General features: G+C 51.9%; 8 annotated features.

Moving 5' to 3' along the window:
• Nucleotides 97-639: an enhancer, noted in NCBI's record as "H3K27ac-H3K4me1 hESC enhancer chr12:125169899-125170441 (GRCh37/hg19 assembly coordinates)". NCBI's record gives its function as "activates a minimal SCP1, AML or CMV promoter by ChIP-STARR-seq in primed H9 embryonic stem cells {active_cell/tissue: H9 hESC(primed)}" and the evidence as "EXISTENCE:reporter gene assay evidence [ECO:0000049][PMID:30033119]".
• Nucleotides 640-1184: an enhancer, noted in NCBI's record as "H3K27ac-H3K4me1 hESC enhancer chr12:125169354-125169898 (GRCh37/hg19 assembly coordinates)". NCBI's record gives its function as "activates a minimal SCP1, AML or CMV promoter by ChIP-STARR-seq in primed H9 embryonic stem cells {active_cell/tissue: H9 hESC(primed)}" and the evidence as "EXISTENCE:reporter gene assay evidence [ECO:0000049][PMID:30033119]".
• Nucleotides 4311-4380: an enhancer, noted in NCBI's record as "active region_7297". NCBI's record gives its function as "activates an Ori minimal core promoter by ATAC-STARR-seq in GM12878 lymphoblastoid cells {active_cell/tissue: GM12878}" and the evidence as "EXISTENCE:reporter gene assay evidence [ECO:0000049][PMID:35858748]".
• Nucleotides 4571-4640: an enhancer, noted in NCBI's record as "active region_7296". NCBI's record gives its function as "activates an Ori minimal core promoter by ATAC-STARR-seq in GM12878 lymphoblastoid cells {active_cell/tissue: GM12878}" and the evidence as "EXISTENCE:reporter gene assay evidence [ECO:0000049][PMID:35858748]".
• Nucleotides 8680-9277: an enhancer, noted in NCBI's record as "H3K27ac-H3K4me1 hESC enhancer chr12:125161261-125161858 (GRCh37/hg19 assembly coordinates)". NCBI's record gives its function as "activates a minimal SCP1, AML or CMV promoter by ChIP-STARR-seq in naive H9 embryonic stem cells {active_cell/tissue: H9 hESC(naive)}" and the evidence as "EXISTENCE:reporter gene assay evidence [ECO:0000049][PMID:30033119]".
• Nucleotides 9876-10473: an enhancer, noted in NCBI's record as "H3K4me1 hESC enhancer chr12:125160065-125160662 (GRCh37/hg19 assembly coordinates)". NCBI's record gives its function as "activates a minimal SCP1, AML or CMV promoter by ChIP-STARR-seq in primed H9 embryonic stem cells {active_cell/tissue: H9 hESC(primed)}" and the evidence as "EXISTENCE:reporter gene assay evidence [ECO:0000049][PMID:30033119]".
• Nucleotides 11635-12252: an enhancer, noted in NCBI's record as "H3K4me1 hESC enhancer chr12:125158286-125158903 (GRCh37/hg19 assembly coordinates)". NCBI's record gives its function as "activates a minimal SCP1, AML or CMV promoter by ChIP-STARR-seq in naive H9 embryonic stem cells {active_cell/tissue: H9 hESC(naive)}" and the evidence as "EXISTENCE:reporter gene assay evidence [ECO:0000049][PMID:30033119]".
• Nucleotides 19155-19324: an enhancer, noted in NCBI's record as "experimental_25120 CRE fragment used in MPRA reporter constructs". NCBI's record gives its function as "activates a minimal promoter by MPRAs in K562 erythroleukemia cells, with activity observed for both the introgressed and non-introgressed 12:125151299 variant alleles {active_cell/tissue: K562}" and the evidence as "EXISTENCE:reporter gene assay evidence [ECO:0000049][PMID:34662402]".

Here is a 22149-nt window from a genome sequence, read left to right as displayed (position 1 = left end):
ACGCAAAGTGCTCAGGATCTCGTCCAGCCCACAGGAAGCACTAGATAAGCGTTAGCTGCTGTCATTCCCCTCCCTGTTCTCTCAGTCCCCATCAGGGCTGAAGACTGACCCTGGTCCAATTGTCCTGATTTGCATGTGGCTCACTGTGGATTCACGTATGCACCCAGAGTATACCCAGGAGCACCATGGCGCCCTGGCAAACTCCACAAGACAAGCTGTCACGCTCCAGGATCACCTGGCAAATTTTCTCATGAATAAAACCGGGAGCTAAAAATGTCTCACGTTTTTCTCCACCTACAAACCCGTCAGTCTCCCCCTGCTCTACGGAGGGCACAAGGATGCACAGAATGTTCCTTAAAAGAATGGAAAAGGCATTCTGGAATCCAGGGCTAATACAATTACTCTAAAAGCATTTCTCCCCTGTTCGAAGTTAACTCGCTCCTGATGATGATAAACTCTGCCGTGCCTGGCCCTCCAGCGCGAGGTGGGGTGATGATTCTCCTAAGGAATATTTTTTCTGCCTCCCACCGGGGTCCTGGTGTTCTCTGCGCTCTGTGGCAGCCAGCATGCCAGCAGCATAAGTTTGGGGATTGCAGAAGGCGAGCGCTGGGAGGCATTTCAAAGCTGCCCGAATGCTGTCCTGGAGAAGGAAGCGGCTAGGCTGCTGTCTGCTGACCTCCTGGGTGCCTCTTCAGAGCTTTCCAAAACAAGGGCTAAAGGGAAAAGACAACACGCCCTTCACCAGGAACCCCAGGAAGATGCAGGAGTGTTTTGGCTCATTTAAGCTGGATAAGACCCAAATCCTGGAGGCTGTTCTGCAGATTTTGACACTCGGAACAATATTCTGGTTTTCACTGGGTGAGTCACTCTTGGGAGACAGAGCCGTGTTGTTAGCAGTTTCATTTTGACTTTGTGAAAACTCATGCCCTCCTTACTCCCTTTATGCCAGCCCCCAAAAAGCATCCACTGCCTGAAGTGGAGAGAGGTCTGGCTTCTCTTCGTCTGCTCGGGGGAGACTCTGAGTAGGACTTGCTTTGGAGACTGGAGCAAACTGTGGTGTGCAGAGGGTTGCTTTGTGAATTACCTGGCACCGTTGTTCAGGGAATGAGCCACAGTGCTTTGAAGGTTGGATACTCTGGAGTTCTTGGATATGCAGATGGCCAACAAAAGAAGTGCTTTATCTTCATGGCCTCGTTGGAGCTGGGAACATTCTGGACCTCAGTGCTGGAGCCTGCTTTCACTTCCTCTACTACCACAGTCTCAGACTTGGCCTGACAGGGCACTTCAGACCTTCTCCTGACCAACCAGTCCAGGTCCGACTGGTTTTCCCAAAAGTGCTCACTGCATCGCATAGAGACTGTAGTGCACATTAAAATGAATTACGTCCGGAGAATACAAGATGATCAGATATGAACCGTTTTGACTCCAACAATTATAATGGCTCTGTGCTGTGTGTCAGGGGCTATGAAACAGGCGTTAAAAAGAATGAGGTGACTGGCTGGGCACGGTGGATCACGCCTGTAATCCCAGCACTGTGGAAGGCTAGGGCGGATCACTTGAGGTCAAAAGTTCGAGACCAGCCTGGCCAACATGGGGAAACCCTGTCTCTACCAAAAATACAAAAATTAGCCAGGCATGGTGGCGTGTGCCTGTAGTCCCAGCTACTCAGGAGGCTGAGGCAGGAGAATCACTTGAACCTGGGAGACAGAGGTTGCAGTGAGCTGAGATCCTGTCATTGCACTCCAGCCTAGGTGACAGAGCAAGACTCCATCTCAAAAAAAAAAAAAATGAGGTGACTTATGTGTGTCCAGCATGAATTGATGTCTCAGACATGTTAAATGAAAAAAGCAAGTCACAGAACGATACACAGAAAATGGTACAAAATAGAAACAACAACACAAAAATTTAAAAATGAAATCAAGAACTCTTCTACAAAGAGGTGGGATATGGCATAGTAGTCCTGCGACCACTCTGCTCAAAGCCACAGTGGATTGACCTCCCTCCAACATGTGCTGGCTGCTGGCCCTGTCCCTCTCCGAGTCTCAGTTTCCCTGTCTGTGGAATGGGGATGATAAAAGTAAAAGCCTCAGAGGGTTGCTGTGGGCCCCACAAAGTTTGGGAAGTACGGGCGCCCAGCCTCGTTGACTGTGCTTATCATCTGTGCAATGGGGACAGCCTCAGGGGGCAAGGATCTCTCTCCAAAAGACATTTTGGAATTTCTCACAGCCAGTGCATGTGGATTACATGAGTACATTTTTAATAAGGAAAAAAAAAAGAAAGTTAAGGATGCTATTTCTGAAGGGAAAATATGCAGGAAGTTTTTAAGACCCTGACTCCTCACACACCCCCTCAGGGGCCGGCTTGCAGTTTAGAAGTGAGCACACGTGGGTAGCTCAGCTCTGCGGAGGAGGCTGTGGTCAGAGGCAGCTGCCTGGCGGAGGCTGGAAGGGCCCCTGGACATTTATCAAGGCCAGGATGGGGAGACATGCTGCTCCCGACCCCAGAGGCCCCACTCATGTTACCTGGCGGCTTTGAGACAGAAGTTCCTCAGCAAAGCAGGCTCCTTCCTGCCTGGCATTATGAGCAGAGATTAAGCACTCTGTTGACACACAAAGAAACAGCCCCATCTGTAAAATTCCGCAGCAGGGCGAGGCTTGTCAGGCCTTTAATACAGGGGCCTGGAGGCTCCTGAGTGTTTACTAAGAGCTCAGCCTGATGGGGATGGAGGAGAGGACTCTCTCAGTTCAGTAGCATGTTTTTACTGCGCACCTACTGTGTGCCCGGCACCATTCTAGACACTCAGGACGTGGCAGGTAGATAAATAAATGAACATGAGGATTGGAGGCAGTTGTGAGTTCTACGCAGTTGTTAAAATTGTTTGATTTGATAGAAAGTGAGGAGGTGAGGGGGTGGGGCTTACCTCTGAAGAGGTAACATCATCTGTACAGAAATCGAAATCGAGTTAGAGAACCAGCCATGGGCTTGTGTGTGGGGAGGAGCCTTCCAGCAGAGGGCACAGCAGGTGCAAATGCCCTGGGGCCGTAGTGGGCTTGGCATGGAGCTGGAAACTAGAGGTTTAGGAGGAAAACGGTGGGAACAAGGTTGGTAAGGAGGGTGGGCTAGATCACGCTGGGCCTTGTCAGTCGCTGTAGGGAATCTGGATTTCCGGCATTTACTTCCTCGTACACCGAGCACGTGAGTTTTAAGCACCAGTTATGTGCAAAGCAAGGAAGTTTGCTCAGGGTGCACTTGCTGGGCATTTATTAATTTCACTGAGAAGACGGTGCTTCTGTTCATGCGGCCAGTGCAGGAGCTGGGCCCACCTGTCACTTGGCCACAGCTGGGGAGCACAGGCCCGGAGCAGGGTTTGGAGATGAGAAGTGGGCTGAGCCCCAGTGCTGGGCTCAGGGTACCGAATGTTAGAAGGCAAGCCCTCTCAGGGTGCCAGTGCAGAGGGGCACCTGGGATGCCTGACATGCCTCACCCAGTGCCAGACCTGCTGAGGGCACTCACGGTTCAACCCGGGAGGCCCAGGAGCAGCTCAGGCCTGGTGGGAGATGAGGGGTAGAGATGACCTCCCTGAGCCAGCCTGAGGCCAGCTATGTTCATGAAGCTTCCAGCGTGCTGTTTCCCAGGAGGGCAGCTCTGGGAGCCTGAGAAGGCAGGGAAGCTGGAGCTGCCCCTCCCCCAGCCCTGTCCTTCCCAAAAGCACAAGCACGTATGTCGCAGTTCACCCATGTGTGGTGTGTGTTGGGACTACTCACAGGTCACAGGTGGGGTTGTGTTTCCCGAAAACACATGTCCGGGTCCTAACCCCTGGCAGCTGTGGATGTGACTTTATTTGGAAATAGGATCTTTGCAGATGTGATCAAGCTGAGATGAGGTCATCAGGGTGGACTCGCGTCCAAGATGACTGAAGCCCTCACAGGAAAAGGGGAGATACGCACAAACAACGTGGAGGCAGAGGAAAGGCTGGAGTGACCGATCTGCAAAGCCAGGAAGGCCAAGGGTCGCAAGAGCCACCAGGAGCTGGAAGAGGCAGGGAAGAATCCTGCCCCAGGGGCTTTGGAGGGAGCAGGGCCCTGCTGGCACCTGGATTGCAGGCTTCTGGCCTCCAGACCTGTGGTTTTAAGCCACCCGCTTCGTGGTACCTTGTTACAACAGCCTGAGAAGCAAACGCGCTGCATTTAGTGGGTGACGTTCCCTGGGGGTCTGGTTAGGATGCAGGTTCTGATTTCATAGGTCTGGGGTGGGACCCAAGACCTGGCTCCCATGCCCGGCGGATGCTGCTGGCCTGGGGGCTACGCTTTGAGTAGCAAAGCTTTGAAGGACGACTGGCAGCGGCCAGGCCAGCCCCCACCCCCACTTCTATGGGGCTCACAGACTGTCATAGTGTTCATTCATCCCTCAGGGGAAATGACTCAATCCGGGTCAGGGGTAGATCCCGGTTAGTCTAGCCAGGGGTCAGCAAACTCTTTCTCTGTAAAGGGTTGAGTCACTCTTCTAGGCTTCTTGGGCGTCTCTGCGGTAACTCCTCAGTTCTGCTTTTGTCACACAAAAGCAACCACAGACGATATTAAAAAAAAGGGTGTGCAGCTTGGGAGGCTGAGGCAGGAGGATCGCTTGAGCCCAGGAGTTCAAGACCAGCCTTGGTAACATAGCAAGATCCTCATCTCTACAAAAAAATTAAAAATTAGCTGGGCATGGTTGTTTGTGCCTGTAATCCCAGCCACTCAGGACGCTGAGGCAGGAGAATCGCTTGAACATACGAGGCAGAGGTTGCAGTGAGCCAAGATCACGCCACTGCCCTCCAGCCTGGCAAAAGAGCGAGACTCAATCTCAAAAAAAAAAAAAAAAAAAAAAAGGATGTGGCTGGGCACCAATCAATCTTTATTTACAAAAACAAACAGGCTTGGGGCCCGTGAACCACCGTTTGCTGACCCTGGGCTAAGCGTCATGGCCACCCCATCCCCCTTCCTAGATATTCACGTGGCCTAACCCTAGCCACTGTGGCGTGGAGGGGACTGTGCTGGGGGATTTACAGGGAATGCTTACCTGCTCTTACCTATTTATTTATTTTTTTCTAAGATAGGGTCTCCCCAGTAGCTGGGACTACAGGTATGTGGCACCATTCCTGGCTAATTTTTGTATCGCTTTTGGTAGAGAGGGGTTTCGCCATGTTGCCCAGATTGATCTTGAACTTCTGGGTTCAAGCGATCCATCCTTCTTGGCCTCCCAAAGTGCTGGGATTACAGGTCTGAGCCACCATGCCCAGCCTACCTGCTTTTAAAAAAGAGAGAACCAGGCAGGGTGCGGGGGCTCACGCCTGTAATCCCAGCACTTTGGGAGGTTGAGCTGAGCGCATTGCCTGAGGTCAGAAGTTCGAGTCCAGTCTGGGCAACATGGTGAAACCCCCCCCTCTACTAAAAATATAAAAATTAGCTGGGCGTGGTGGTGCACACCTGTAATCCCAGCTACTCAGGAGGCTGAGGCAGGAGAAGGCAGGGAGGCTGAGGAGGTGGAGGTTGCCGTGAGCCGAGATTGAGCCACTGCCCTCCAGCCTGGGCGACAGAGCAAGACTCTGTCTCAAAAACAAAACAAAACAAAACAAAACAGACAAACAAACAAAAAACAAAAAGGGGGGAAGAGATGGCTGCCTTATCTTTGACTGCACTCTGTCTTGTTGGGATGTGATGACCAGATCTGCTGCAGCCATCTTGAGGCCATGAAGGGAGTCCCAACACTGAGGGGTGGCAGAAGAGAGAGGAGGAAGCGCCTGGTGCAGATGCCACCAATGAGCTGCTGAGTCACCCAGCCCTGCAGCTCCTTTGCTCCGGGACCTCCTCTCATGGGGAGAATCCATGTTCATCATGAAAGCAGTTGGAATTGGGATTTTTCTCTAACTTGCTACCCCAGGCATCCTGAATGCTACAACCTGCTCCGGGTGCCCCAGGCCCTGGAGCCGCTCATGGCCTCCTGTGCAAGTCAGCACCCTCTCCTCCGGGCCCTGCACGCAGCCACCACGCCGCAAGGGCAGTGAAAAGCTGACCTGGAGCCTAGACATTTGGATCCCTGCCCCAAGCCCTGTCGCTTTGGCCAAACCACTGGCCTTCCACATGTAAAACAAGGGCAACTCCACTGGTCAGATGGGTTTGTTGTGGAGTTGAAGTTTGTAGGCAATAAACCCTAAAATAGCAACCTGCAACCCGGGCAGTGTGAGGAGTACTGTCAGGATTCCACCCCCACACGCTCCGGGCCTCTCAATGACGCTTCTGTGTCCCTTCTCTCCAGTTTGCTCCTAACTGCCTGCACTTTCACCTCGCTTCTGGGCACTGCTCCCGGGCTCTGGCGGTGCTTTGGCCCCATGTCCAGGGAGCCTGACCCGCCTGGTGGCTGTGATTCCCTGGGACAGCCCCTGGGTGACCACTGTGAGTCTGAGCTCTTGCCTTGGGGCAGGACGAACTGGGTGCTCCTCAGACCCAGATCCGGCTGAGGCTGGGATATTGGCTCGAGTGACACCTGGGCTTGGCTTCCTTCCCTGCCCTGTCCTGTCTCCCCTGTGCAGCCTCCCCTGAAGCGCGGGTCTACAAACCTCATCCCAGGACCCGTTTCTAGGAGACAGTGAGGCTAAGACCCAGTGCCTGCCCGATGCATTAACAGATGGAATCCTCCTGAGGACCCTAGGAAGCAGGTACTCTTATCCCATTTTGCCCAAGGGGACACCCAAGCCCAGAGAGGCTGGGTAACTTGTCCAGGGTCACACAGCTTGTCTTGCTTCTGAGGTCATGTCTTTGCCATTGCACTGTACTCTGCAATGGAGCTCTTGGGTCAGAAACCCCAGCTTGGAACCCCATCTTTGCTCTTGCCTAGTCCTGTGACCCTGGGCAAGCAATGCTGCCTCTGTGGGCCTCAGTCTTTTCACCTATTATGAGTTAAGCCACCAATACTTGTAAGGGGCTAAGTGCTCAATGCATGTCAGCTGGCATTTGTCATTATTAAGAGAGGGGCGTCTTTGAGCTGGCTTTGCCCTGCTGGGCTGCAGACGGGCGGGCAGCCCTTGGGACCCCCAGATGACCCCAGGGGAGGGAGGAAGAGGAGGGAGAGGTGGCTGGCTGAGCCCCAGCCCACTCCGTGCCCGGGAAAGGCAGGATGTGGCCCACGCAGAGTGAGGGCAGCCGGCACCGTCGCCATGGCAGCAGCCTCCAGCGGGCTTCCCAGCTGTCCAAGGAGCCTGTGGGGCCTCCACCGTCCTGGCCCAGGGCAGCAGAAGTGGCCGCAGGGCCTTGTGCCCTTGGGCGGTCCCCTAATTTATAGCCGGGAGCATTTTCTGGTTCAAAGCACATAGCATTCAGTTATGCTCTCTGAGGGTGGCCGTGCAGGGAGGCCTCAAGGCCACCCCCGGGGGCCTGATTAGCATCAAGAGACTCCCACAGTCTGAACTGGGAGTCCTCGAGGTCAGCCCCCTCCCACCAGGAAAGCCCCTGCCCTCTTGTCTAAGCCATTTGTCTGTCTAGGAGGCAGGGGCGGGGTGACAGGCTTGAATCCAGCCCAGGCACTTTCTAGCTGGGTGGCCTTGAGCAAGTTACTTCATTTATCTGGGCCTCAGTGTCATCATCTGAACAGTAATAATAACAAAACAGCTTTGGGAGGCTGAGGCAGGAGGATTGCTTGAGGCCAGGAGTTTGAGACCAGCCTGGGCAACACAGCAAGACCTGGTCTCTACAAATTATAAAAACGTTAGCCGGGCGTGGTGGTGTGTGCCTGTAGTCCCAGGTACTTGGGAGACTGAGGTGGGAGGATCGCTTGAGCCCAGAAGGTCAAGACTGCAGTGCGGTGATCATGGCGCTGTACTCCAGCCTGGGCCACAGAGTGAGACCCTGTCTCTTAAATAAGTACAATGGGCTCACAAGGACCTGCACATAGGTTGCTGTGAAGATCAAGCATCTGTCAGGGGATGTGCCCAGATGATAGCTTGGACTGAACAAGTACTTCACGCAGGCCAGGTGCTGTTTTAAGCCCCTTGGGAATAAGCACTAGGCTCCTCCCATCTATACTGCGGTTCCGTCGCTTTTGCTCCTGTTTTACAGATAAGGAAATGGAGGCACCAGAGGTTATGTACCTGCCTGAGCAAGGCCTCTGCTTCCCCTAGTTCTTTTGTATTTCATTTTACAGGGGCCCTCAGATAACATTCAGGTCCCCTGAGCATGCACTGGGCGCCTACTGAATGCAGGCATGGTCCTGGCCCCCGGGGTGAGTGGAGGCGAATCAGACGTAGCTGGGGCCGCGGGGCAGAAGGAAGCACGGAGACACCCCTGAGACCTCCAGGTCTCCTCTTCCGCTAGGGTGTCCTGGTTCTGACTTACAGGGGGCTTGAGCGCAACCCCCAGCCTTTTTCTCTCTGAAGAGAGGAGCAAAGACCGTGGAACCTGCAGGGACGGCAAACTGGGCGCTTCCAGTTCCAGCTGTATATTTCCCCCCTGTTGGATTTCCTTTGGGTAAATACGGAGTCAAATCAAACTTTGAACTTCCAACTCCCTGCCAGACTGTTTCTTACTACCCCTATCCCTTGCTCCCCACCTCACCCAGATCTCTCCTCCCTGCCTCTGTCCCGAGGTGGCGGAGAGGCTGGGGGAAGCCCCAGCGTGGGAATCCTCAGAGCGGTAGGAGGGAGAGAGGCTCAGCGTCAAGGGCTGACCCCGGGGTCTCTGCTGGCCTCTGCTGTGGTGTGGCCAGTGTCATGCGCCCTGGGGATTCCGGTGCCTGGGGAGCAGGGGCTTGGGGACATGTCCCGCCAAAGGTGAGGACCTTGGCAGCTGCATTCAGACAGGGCTACCCCTGACACACAGGTGAGCATGCGCACATACACACATGCACACACATGCCCCCACACACATGCCCGCACACACACGCCTGCACACACATGCCCACACACACACACACACGCACACACATGCCCGCACACACACACGGACACACATGCCCCCCCACACATGCTCGCGCGCGCACACACACATGCCCGCACACACACGCACATACATGCCCGCACATACACACACGGACACACATGACCGCACACAAATGCCCGCGCACGCACGCACACACACACACACACGAACACACATGCCGGCACACACGCACATGCCCGCACGCACACATATGCCCGCGCGTGCACGCGCACACACATACACACATGCCCAGGCACACACATACACACACATGCCCGGACACACACACACACGCACACACACATGCCCGCAAACACACACGCACATACATGCCCGCGCACACACACGCACACACATGCCCGCACACACACGCAAGCGCACACACAGATTTAGTTCCCAGCTACTGTGGCCACACTGTATGACCTCAAGCAAGGTGCCGCTCTTCTCTGAGCCTCGGTTTCCTTGTTGTGAAATGGGTCTGTGCTGACAGCCCCCCGTGTTTTGAAGACCTTGGGAAATAGCGGAGAGAAAATGCTTTCTGAGCCATACTGATGTCCTTGTGACTCAGCTCTGCTCTGCCTTCCAGCTTACCCGTGTGCAGTGGCTGGAAGACGTGCGTGGAACCTTCTTCCTCTTTCTTGTTTCCTTTCCTTTTCTTCCTCCCTCCCTCCTTCTTTCCTTCACTCTCTTCCCTCCTTTTACAGAAGGGAAATTTTTAAGTTCAGAGCCTTTTTCCCCCGCCTCCTGGCACGGCGGATTGGTGGGGGTTCCGCCCCCATCGTGGGACCCTGGGGGTTGACAGCTCTGCCATCCGGAGCCGCAGGCGGAGCGAGGAGGGAACATTATTCTCTGTAATGTCAGGCCCTCCTCAGCACTTTCATGTTCAAAGTGCTTCCTCGGTGCTAAATAATTAATTCTCTCCACGCTCCCTCGTGAGGGAATAAATAAATGTCACTGGTATGGGGTGACTAAGCCCGCCGGGAATCAAGGCTGACAGCTTCAGGCGCCAGCAGAGGGTCGGCCGGGGACATTGCCTTCAGAGGCCACTGCTCAGTTGGAGCTGACAGGGAGCCCAGCCATCCGTGGCCTGGTGGGGACACGGCGGTGGTGCCCGTGTGGGCTGAGAGAGCCTGTCTCCCTGGCCTGCCCTCGGATGGATCGGGAGCACCCGACCAGCGGCAGGCTCCAGGCCTTGCTTTCTCATCCGAGCTGACCTCCGTGTCCTGTCTTCCTGCCTGTGAAATGGGCATCATTACAGGGCTGGCGTCCCAGGGTCAGTGGGTCAAATGCTGATACCCCCTTCGGCAGAGGCTGGGCCCAGGGAAAGCTTCCTGCACCCAAGGTCATTGTCATAATTATGTGCTCATGGCACCCCCCGACACTCCACTGGCAACCCCTGGGGCCTCCTCCCAGGGCTCAGTTTCCCCAGACTCCTCACCAGGGTCCTACCCCACCCCTCATCTCCCACCAGCTTCCTCTCCTTCCCCTGGCAGGGGCCTCTGGGCCATGTAGGGCATACCAAGCACATTCTCCCTTTGGAAACTTCACCCTGGCTGTTCCCGCTGCCACGAACATCTTTCCTCCCCAGCATCCTCAGGGTGGCCTCCTCATTTCACCCAGGTCTCTGTTCCAAGACACCTCCTCAGAGGGGCCTTCCCTGACTGCGCCTGTCTAAAATAATCAAGCCAGTAAGAATGCCACTGTCCTTCCCCTCCCAGCCTTAGTTCTGCCTGAGGCATCATGTAGTCACTGCTGCTCACCCAGGAGACTGAGAGAGGATGGGGACAGTGACTTTCTTGGTCACCACCCAGGGCCTGGCATATAGTAGGTACTCAACAAACAGTTACTGTGCTTGCTTTTCTATCCCCAGTGCCTGGAAATGTGTCTGGCATATATTAGGTGCTCAATAAATTCACTGCTCTATCCCCAGTGCCCAGAACGCATACAGCCTGGTGCATAGTAAGTGTGTAATAAATAATGCTGTTGCTTGCTCTTCTAGCCTCTGGACCTAGAAATGTGTGTGGCACACAGTAGGTGCTCAACAAATAATTTGTTCACTGCTGTATTCCCAGTGCCCAGACCAGCTCCTGGCATGCAGTGGGTGCTCACTAAGCATTTATCCTTTCACTGCTGTCATCGGCCTAGTGCCTGACACAGGGCAGGCATCTAATGTATATTCCTTTAGCTCACAGCTGTATCCATGGTTCATGAAAATGTGTCTGGCCCATAGTAGGTGGTCAACGAATATTTGTTTTGTTCATTCCTGTATCTCCAGTGCCTAGCACTTAGTAAGCACTTAGTGTTTGTTGAATGAATGAATGTTGGGATGAAGGATTGTTCTGTTCCTGAAGCCCCAGAATCTCCCAGAACAGAGGTGCCCACAATATGGGGAGAGGAGTGGGGCAGCGCAGAAGGCTGTGCCTGCCTGTGTGTTTGGATGCCTCTCTCGGAGCAGCAGCCTCCCAGCCTGCCTGACTGCCTGCCCGCCTGCCTGCCTGCCAGGCAGCACATGGCTCCAACACGCTCTGCCAGCCTCGAGCAGCCTCGCCCCAGCACCAGGCCTGGCCACGCTGGGAGGAGGGAGGGAGAGAGGAGGAGGAGGGGGCCTGCAGATGGCTGGCCATCTGCTGCGTAGGAGGCTGGACGGGCAGGCGCCCCCCCACCAGCCTACACTGTGCTGTCATCTTCCTGTCTGCTCAGCACGGCCAGACGGGGGGCTTCAGGGTGAAGCAAAGGATCCTGTACTCTTCCCCAGCTTCCAGGTCTCCTCTGCATACCCTGGAGTGTGTTGGGTCTGCATCTGGCCCCAGCACCCAGCATGGTAGGCAAGTGTCAGGAAGAGTGTGATCAGGGTGTCCAGGGTCAGGCCAGGTGGGGTTGAGCCCAGGGCTGGGGTTGGACTCCGCTGTCCTCCCAGAACTCCCACTGTGCTGCCTGCTGTCCCCCTTCCCAGCAGGCGAGGCCAGGCAGCTGCTCCGTTCCTCTTCCTTGAGGTCATTCAGGACCAGAGGGCATTGCTGTCTGCCCCTAGGCCTCATCAACACACTGAGTGCGTAGAGGAGAGGGTGGGGAGGGAGGGCATAGGGGACAGACAGTGGGAGCAGAAGGATCTGGGCATGTCTTGTGTGTGCACATGCATATCTGGGCATGCATACAGGAAAACAGAATTAGGAGATTTCCTGGTTCACATATTGGAGTTACATGGTTTTCTCTTTGTGACTGAGTACATAGTACAAGTGAATATTTGGACACACACGTTTTATGTGCCTATGCATGCTGTTCCAGTGGTGTTTCCGCAGATTTTATGTTTAGGTATAGCCCCTACACAAGGTGTGTGCATGCGTGGTCTTCGCACACATCTGTGTGTGCACACCTGTGGGTGGGTGTGTGCTGGGCCAGTAGATAATATTTGTGTGTGCAGGTGAACAAGCTTATGCTAGGAGGCCAGCATCTGGTCTAGATGTGTGTGTGTGTGCACATATATGCATACATATGTGTCACCTGGTCACACATACAAAATAATATGAGTATGGGGCCAGGCATAGTGTCTCACACCTGTAATTCCAGTGCTTTGGGAGGCCAAGGCAGGAGAATTGCTTGAGGCCAGGAGTTTGAGACCAACTTGGGCAACAGAGCGAGACCCAGACTCTACAAACATTAAATTAGCCAGGCATGGTGGTGTGTACCTGTAGTCCTCTCTACTCAGGAGGCTGAGGTGGGAGGATTGCTTGAGCCCAGGAGGTCGAGGCTGTGGTGAGCTGTGATTGTGCCACTGCACTCCAGCCTGGGCAACAAAGTGAGACCTTGTCTCAAAAAAAGAGTATGTTTCGTGTGTATGTCATGTGTATATATGTGTGTACTTATGTGCATGTGTGCATATGTGTGTGTATATGGATGTGTGGGCAAGTGTAGGATGTGTGAATATGTCATGTGTCATATGCCATGCATAGATGTATATGTGTGTGGGGTGAATGTATATATGCATGTGTACATGAATGTGTGAAGGAATATGCATGCACAAGTGTATGCCCATGTGTGTATACACATGGGTGTGTGGGGTGTGGCTGTAATGGGTGTGAGACAGAGTCTGTGTTAATGCAGAGGTGTCTGTGTGTGCATCTACATATGGGTGTGTGTAGTTGGATATGCATGTGTGTTGCGTCTGTGTGGCTATGTGTATATGTGCATGTATATTCATGTCTTAAAGATGTGTACCTCATGTGCATGTGCAGGTACATGTGTGTATCAGGATGAATGTGTGTGTGCAGTTACGTGCGTGTATTAGGATGAGTGTATGTGTGTAGATATATGTGTGTATTAGGATGAATGTGTGTGTGCAGGTACATGTGTGTATTAGGATGAATGTGTGTGTGTGCAGGTACACGTGTGTATCAGGATGAGTGTGGGCAGTTACGTGCATGTATTAGGATGAATGTGTGTGTGTGCAGGTACATGTGTGAATTAGTATGAGTGTGTGTGTGGAGGTACATGTGTGTATTAGGATGAATGGGTGTGTGTTTGCAGGTACATGTGTGTATTAGGATGTGTGTGTGTGCAGGTACGTGTGTGTATTAGGATGAATGTGTGTGTGTTTGCAGGTACATGTGTGTATTAGGATGTGCGTGTGTGCAGGTACATGTGTGTATTAGGATGAATGTGTGTGTGTTTCCAGGTACGTGTGTATTAGGATGTGTGTTTGCAGGTACATGTGTGAATTAGTATGAGTGTGTGTGTGGAGGTACATGTGTGTATTAGGATGAATGGCTGTGTGTTTGCAGGTACATGTGTGTATTAGGATGTGTGTGCAGGTACATGTGTGTAATAGGATGAGTGTGTGTGTGCGTGTGCGCAGGTATATGCATGTATTAGGATGAATGTGCAGGTACATGTGTGCATTAGGATTACTGTGTGTGTGCAGTTACATGTGTATATTAGGATGAGTGTGTGTGTGCAGGTACATGTGTGCATTAGGATGAGTGTGTGTGTGCAGGTACTTGTGTGTATTAGGATGAGTGTGTGTGTGTATGCAGGTACATGTGTGTATTAGGATGTGTGTGTGCAGGTACATGTATTAGGATGAGTGTGTGTGTGTGCGGGTACATGTGTGTATTAGGATGTGTGTGTGCAGGTACATGTATTAGGATGAGTGTGTGTGTGTGCAGGTACGTGTGTGTATTAGGATGTGTGTGTGTGCAGGTACATGTGTGTATTAGGATGAATGTGTGTGTGCAGGTACTTGTGTGTATTAGGATGAGTGTGTGTGTGTGCAGGTACATGTGTGTATTAGGATGTGTGTGTGCAGGTACATGTATTAGGATGAGTGTGTGTGTGTGTGCGGGTACATGTGTGTATTAGGATGTGTGTGTGCAGGTACATGTATTAGGATGAGTGTGTGTGTGTGTATGCAGGTACGTGTGTATTAGGATGAGTGTTTGTGCAGGTACATGTGTGTATTAGGATGAATGTGTGTGTGTGTCCAGGTACATGTGTGTATTAGGATGAGTGTTTGTGCAGGTACATGTGTGTATTAGGATGAATGTGTGTGTGTGTCCAGGTACGTGTGTGATTAGGGATGTGCATGTGTTTTGTGTGTGTGTCGTGTGTGATTAGGGATGTGCCTGTGTTTCATGTGTGTGTTGTGTGCGTGGTGAATGTGCGTACATAGCCCAGTAAGAGCACAGACGTTGGAGCCAGATGACCTGGGTTCACATCCCAGATCTGCCACTCACTGGCATGTGTGACTTGGGGCAAGCCACTTAACATCTCTCGACTGCGATGGGGGCGGCACAGCTTCTGCGGAGGCCTGAAGACCCTGAGCTCTTCCTGTGGGTCAGAGGTGGGTTGGGGGAGTCAAGGAAGGTTGCCTTAAGAAAGGGCCATTTGAACTGGGTCTTGAAGGACGCGTAGGGTCAGAGATGGAGATGGCTTGGGAGAACTATCCGGGCAGATAGCAGAGCATTGGAGTCACTGATTCTAACCCCAGTCCGGGCCCCCAAGTTCTTTTCCCCAGGTGGCTCAGAAAGTCTCCCTCCTGGTCTCCCACACCATTTTTCTGAAATACGCTTTTAGTTTTGGGGTGGACTGCTCGCCTCCCTCAAGGCCTCGCCCATGGGCCTGCCCCATGGCTTCTGCGTCCCAGTTTTCTCTGCCCCCCGAGGCTGTTTGCAGGTGGTTCACAGCGTCTGGCTTCCTCCCTCCCGGCTCTTTGTACAGATGGGGAAGCTGACGCCCGGAGAGGTGCAGAGGCTTGCTTAAAATCACACAGCAGAACAGGGAACAGAACCAGTGCCCAAGGCCCAGGCTAAAGGCAGCATGACAACTGTCTCCATTTTGCAAAGTTTAGCTCAGACTCAGAATTTAAATCCAACATGTTGTTCAGCAAACATGTTGTAGAAGCAATGTTCGAATTTCATTAATTGAACACATTAATTGAGCACCTACTGTGTGCCTGACGCAGGGCACAATGGCGATTAAGACAGAAGCAGTTTCCCTAGGAAATGACAGTCCAGTCCGGATCTGTCTGTTGGATACAGTAGCCCCTAGCCCCATGCAGTGGGAGATGGAACCATGGCCCACAGGATGTCCAGGTCCTAAGCCCTGGGACCTGTGAATATGTGTCCTGATACAGCAAAGGGGGCTTTACAGATGTGATTTAATTAAGAATCTTGAGATGGGAGATGTTCCTGGATGATCCAGGTGGGCCCAAGGTCATCACAAGGATCTTTATAAGAGGGAGGCAGGAGGGTCAGAGTCAGAGGAGCTGTGACTGTGGAAGCAGATGTCAGAGTGATGTGAGGCCACAAGCCAAGGAATGCAGGAGATTTCTAGAAGCTGGAAAAGGCAAGGAAACAGAGGCTCTCCTAGAGCCTCCAGGAATAAATGCAGCCTCGCCAACACCTTGCTTTTAGGTGTGACCCATTGCAGACCTGTGACCTCCAGAACTATAAGAGAATAAAATGTGTTAAGCCACTACCTTTTTAATTATTTGTTACACAGCTACAGGAAACTAATCCATGTGTCTGTTTACATTTAGATTAAATAAAATTACAAATTCAGTTCCTTAGTGGTACCAGCCACATTTTAAGTGCTTGATAGCCATATTTCCATCATCACAGAAAGTTCCATCAGCCAACATGGGTCTAGACAGACTATAAACAAACAAACCAATAAATAAGAGAATTTCAGATGACGATGAGAAAAAAAAAAAAGCTTTAGAAACCATATCCTTAGCCCAGCTTAAATAAAGAAAACATTTGGCAATTCCATAAAAGTTCCTGAAACCTTAATCCACGGAGATATAACAGCTGCCTCCCAGGGGCAGGTGTTCTAGGTCTATGATATGGTTAGGCTTTGCGTCCCAACCCAAAATCTCATCTTGAATCCCCATAATCCCCACGTGTCAGGAGAGAGACCAGGTGGAGGTAATTGAATCACGGGGGCAGTTTCCCCATGCTGTTCTCGTGAGAGTGAGTGAGTTCTCACGAGATCTGATGGTTTTATAAGTGTTTGGTAGTTCCCGCTGTATTCATTCTCCTTCTGCCGCCTCGTGAGGAAGGTTTCATGCTTCTCCTTTGCCTTCTGCCATGACTGTAAGTTTCCTGAGTCCTTTCATGCTTCCCCTTTGCCTTCTGCCATGACTGTAAGTTTCCTGAGTCCTCCCCAGCCATGCAGAACTGTGAGTCAATTGAACCTCTTTCCTTTATAAGTTACTCAGTCTCAGGCATATCTTTATAGCAGTGTGAGAACAAACTCATACCATCTATGTGCTTGCAAAATCCACTATGAGAATCAGAGAGAGGTTAAGACACTTGGCCAAAGTGACACAGCAACAGAAGCCAATGGGAAGGTAAGGCTGTTTCTGCAGATCTCTGAGCAGATGGGGAAAGGTGAAAATTCAGCTTTTCTAAGAAAAAACAACAGACTTCCTACAGTTCAGCTAACTCCAGACCCCTTCCCAGGGGGCACTTGTTCCTGTGGGAGACATGTGCCCCCAAACACAGGCCAAGAAGACTGTTAGTTTTCCGCCACTGCTGGAACAAAGCATCCTAAACTTTGTGGCTAAAAACAATAGGAATCGTGTTCCCTCAACGTTTGGGTGGCAGCAGGGCCATACTCTCTCTGAAGGCTGTTGGGGAGGATACTTCCCGGCCCCTTCCAGCTTCTGGTGGTTGCCAGCATCGTTGGCAGTCCTTAGCTGTGGCTACCACACTCTAATCTCTGCCTCTGTGGTCACGTGGCTTTTCCCTGCATGTCTCTGTCCAAACTTCCTCCTTCTTATAAGGATCCACTCCAATCCAGTATGACTTCATCTTCAGTTGATCACGTCTGCAAGGACCCTATTTCCAGAGGTCACATTCGTAGGTACCGGGGAGTGACATAAACTGTGGGCAGGGGGCATTTTTCACTCTAGGACAGAGACTCTGGGCAGTTATCCAGAGCCTGATGGGTGTAAACCTGTGCTTCTCAGATGGCAGCATGCTGCATGGTTAGGAGCACAGACTCAAGCTAGAGAACTGGGTTCAAATCCCAGCTTCACCACTCACTGGCTGTGTGACCTCAGATGCACTACTTCTCTGTGCCCCATGTGATACTGATAACAGTATCTACTATAAGGATTAAATGAGGTAGTGCGTATAATGCTCTTGGAGGTACCCAAGCCCTGTGCAAGCATTTGCTATCATCATAATTTGGGGTTTCCCTCAAGTGGTTGGGAAGACCTGGAATGGATGTAGGCACAGCATTAAATAATATGAAACAGCAAGAAAACCACTCCTTTTTTTTTTTTTTTTTTCTATTCTTCCGCCAACTCCAGGGAGAAACTCTCCACGGGTGCTGAGATGTCTTTGACACCTCGCTGAGTAAGGTTGGCAGAGCTTCCTTCACAACAGCCGGAAACGGTTTCCATTGAAAACCTTCCTCAGGCAGCAGGACAGAAAGCAGACTTGGGTGACACCTTTTGTTTCTCTGTGTTCACTTTCACCATCACCTACTCTTCCGGTAAGTGATATCGGCTTTCCGATTAGGGGGTGATCTGAGCTTTCCTCTTTACGTCCATTTATTTGCCTACAGAGAAAGTGAGTATTTGTTTTTAAAGTGAGCAAATAGCAGTTCAGCAAGGAAAAGGCAGAGGCTGTTCCCATGGGTGGTTCAAGGAGGTGGGGCAGGAGCCGCGCAGTGACACCTGAATGCCTGGGGCAGGCAGCCACCTGGGCTTTTGAGGTCTGGAGTGGAATGTTTCATCGACTGCTTCAAAGGATCCCATTATCTGAACTACCTTCTGATCTGTGTAGATGCCACCCGGATACAATCCACATTCGGCGACCTGCTGGTGTAGCTGGGCTGCACAAGGATCGGGCGGTCCCACAGGACTGAACTAGAGGGATGGGGCTGAGCGGGGCTGAGAGACAGGGCCTGGTGCCATTCAGCCTCCCCCAGTCTCGGCAAAAGGAGATGCAGGGGCCTCACTACGCAAGCATTTAGCAAGCTCACCTTCAAAGGTTTATTTTGCCCCCTTCCTCTGAAGGTGACACGTTCCATCCACAAGTCAGTGAGAAATGGGCTGGCCTGAGCTGTTGGAGAGCGTCGAAGGAGGTTTGCCCCGACAGCTGTGGGGCTACCCCTTTGTCCTGAGAAATTCACAGCCGGGGCCTGATGGTGTGAATGAGTCCACTTCTGGACAGGGCTGTGGGCACAGGGCTGTGTGTGGCTCAGGGAGCTCAGGCACAGCCTCTTCTTTTTCTCTTTTGTACACACTGGGATTACCCGGCTTGTGAACCAGTGAGATCTGGAGACAGATCCTGTGATGAAATCAGGCCACCATAACCTCCCATCATAGCCTCTGCATACAATCCTTCCATGTTCCCCTTTCCAGGTATCTGTTGCTGTGTAAGGAGTTACCCCAAAACTTAGCAGCATGAAACAATAGCAATGATTTTATTGTTATGTCATGGTTCCGATGTTGACTGGGCTCAGCTAGGCGGTTCTGGCGTGGGGCCTCTCATGTGGTTGCAGTCACATGGGGACTGGGGCTGAGGTTATCTCAACCCACATGTCTGGCAGTCACTATTTGATAGTTGATATGTGACTGCCAGGTGGAACCTCAGCTGGGGGCCAGAGCCTCCACGTGTGACTTGGGCTTCCTTACAACATGGTGCTCCAGAAAAAAAATTTCCCAAGAGGGCCAGGAGGAAGCCATAACACCTCCTATAACAGTCTCAGAAGTTCCCCAGTTTCCCTTCCATTGTAGTCTCAGCCCTGGGCAAGGGGAGGGACATAACTCCCAGCTCCCAATAGCAGGAGTGCCCACCTCACATTGTAAAAAGAGCTTGTGGGATGGAAGAATTTGTAGCCATCTTGGAAAACACAGCCACTTCCATCCTTCCTGCTTCTCTGCTCTAATTCCAGCCCAGCTTCTGAAGCTGTGGGCCATTATTAGGCTCCTATAGTATGCCAGCTGTTTTCATGAACATCATCACACAACTAGCTACAGCTCCCCTTGGGTGAGTCTGTCATTTTCCCGTCTTACGAACAAGGGGTCTGGGCATCAGAATGCTTAAGGTACCTGTACAAAGTCCCACAGTTGTTCAGTAACTTTATTGGACATCAGTTGCCCCTTCTGGTCACAGCCCCTCTAGTTTACTTGGAGACAGCCCTTCACTCACCTCAGACCATGTGGTTTGTGTTGAACTGGTTCTCCCCATTGGTCCAGAGATGGGCATGTGACTAAGGCTCCGCCAATCCAAATTTTCCAAACCTCTGGCCTCAGTGATTGGTTCAGGGGTCATTGAATGATCCAATTCTGTCCAGTAAGAGGTATCCCAGGACTGTTGCAGGAACAGTTGGGAAGTGAGAATCTGGACTGATTGAGCATGTTTAGCTGTGCCTGCTGGGATACCATTTCCGTGGTGAAGGCAGGGCATGACTGAGGAGGAAGCCAATATGGACACAAACAACTGTGCATTCTGAGGCCATTGCTTGGGCCCCTGGATTCAGCCATACCTGAGGCCAGCACTACCTCGGAATTTACCATTACAAGAACTAATAACTTTTCCTTTTAGTTGAAGGCAGTTTGAGTTGGGGCTTCTATGATAGCCAAAGTCTCATCCGAGCACTTTGCAGGGCCGAGGCGAGAGGCTCGCCTGAGCCCAGGAGTTTGAGAGCAGCCTGGGCAACATGACAAAACCCCATCTCTACAAAATTAAAGAAAAAAAATTAAGTGAGTGTGGCAGCCTGTGCCTGCAGTTTCAGCAACCTGGGAGGCTGAAGTGGGAGAGTCACTTGAGCCTAGGGAGCTTGAGGCTGCAGTGAGCTGTGATTGCACCACTACATTCCAGGCTGGGTGACACAGCAAGACCCTGTCTCAAAAAAAATGCAGAAAAGGAATTTGAGCCCAGACCTATCTGAGTCCACAAATTCTAAATTCTTTCCCCAGAACCATGCCACTTCCCTGAGTGCCATCTACCTTCAAGGCCCAGATCAATTATCCCTTTTCCAAGACAACCTCCCTGATATCAGCTCACAGCGTCTCCCCTCAGACTCCAATTGCTGGAGTCTGTGGCCTTTGGTGTAGGTGCTTTCCAGGGAAGGCCTCCCTGATCAACATGGTGCCTTCTTCTACCAGGCATGGGTGCCTAAAATGTCACCATCAGAGCCTCATTCCTCTGGGTTAAGCATTGCTCTTTTTGAGTGACTATTTTAAAATCTTGATCCCCTGAGATTGGGAGTCGAATCACCATGGTCCAAGAAAAATGATAAGGGCATTCTTGGAGAGACAGGCAGTAAAACGAGGGAAGAGATGTGTTTCATTCTCACTAGCAAGGAGGAAGTAGCATTTAAAGCTGCACCTTCAAAGGAAAAGAGACTTTTAGAGTTGAGGTTATAGAAAAGGTATCCCAGGTAGAAGGAGAAGATCGAGAGGAGAGAACTTGTGGGACACAGTCAGGAAATAGCCAATTTGCTGCTGTTGCTGGTATACCATATAGGACTGAAGCCAGCTCAGAAGGTCCTGGGATTGTGAAATACCACACTGAGGCGTTTGATATTTATTTTCTGGGTAATAGGGGGCCATCGAAGGTGCTTGAGTCACGGCAGTGGGGTCGGGGGAGTCTCAATCAGAGCAGCAGTTTAGGAAGATGAATCTGTGCAGTGTGGAAGGGCAGTGTGTGAAGAGGCCATAGGCTGGGCCAGGGGAGCCAAGTGAGAAGTGAGGTCATCCAAACCAGAATTGCAACAGTGAGATAAGAAGTGATTAGGCACATTTTGGGGGAAAACTGGCTTGATATAGAGACAGGCCAGGAGGGGTGGAGCCTTAGAACAGCATCGGTGCTGGGTCCCCGTGCTGGGCCCAAGCTCAGCCTCTCCCTCTTTTAAGAGAAGGACCTGTCACCAGCCCACATAATAGCTGTGGCTCCATGCTGGTATGTGGATCAGGATGGGCTTTTTCATTGCTGTGTAGTTTTCCACTGTAAGGATGTACCACAATTCATTTATCCATTTACCTCTGATGGACATACAGGTAGTTTCCAATAACCTCCTTTTTAAATTTTGAGATGTCACCTTGCATGAAGCAATGCAACCTGGGACATTAATGGGATGGGCTAACTATATTTTTCTAGTATACATTAAATACATGCATAATTATTAAAAATAAAAGAGATACTCGTCTGGGACCACCTCCTGTCACTTGCTCCTGCACGAGGCTTGCTTTGGCAAAGGCTGCGAGAATTCGTCGCTGCCGCAGTTGCTGGATTGTTAGATGACGATGTCATTCAGGCCCGGTGGTGGCCCAGAGGCTAAGCTCCCCTTCCCACACCCTCCTTATCCCTGGACAAGAGGCCTTCTGGAAGGCTACTCCTGCTCTGGCCCCTGCCTGCCCTCAGCTGGAAGGAGACATTGTCTCAATTCATCCTGCCTTCAAAGGGCTCCTGTCTGAACCAGGCTCCCGGGCAAACCCCAGCCCAATCCTCGCCTGGAAAAACACACTCGGCCCTTGTTTAGACTGAGGCCGGCCTGCAGGAGGTCAGCCCAGCTGCGAGGGCAGAAGCCTCAGCTCAGCCACAAAACGTGGCGTGGGGGCCCCTCCACTTGCGGCCCCGGGCCCACCCCCGGAGATGGAGGCTGCTCAGGAAGGAGAAAGCCTCACACAGGGACCCTGTGTGCATCCCGGTGGTTGGCCAGGAAGGGCCGGTCTGTCATTCTGGGCTGG

This window comes from Homo sapiens, chromosome 12 (assembly GCF_000001405.40).
Source record: "Homo sapiens chromosome 12, GRCh38.p14 Primary Assembly".
Classification (NCBI taxonomy): Eukaryota; Metazoa; Chordata; class Mammalia; order Primates; family Hominidae; genus Homo; species Homo sapiens.
The sequence above is the reverse complement of the archived record's forward strand: the minus strand, read 5'-3'. Positions and strand labels throughout refer to the sequence as shown.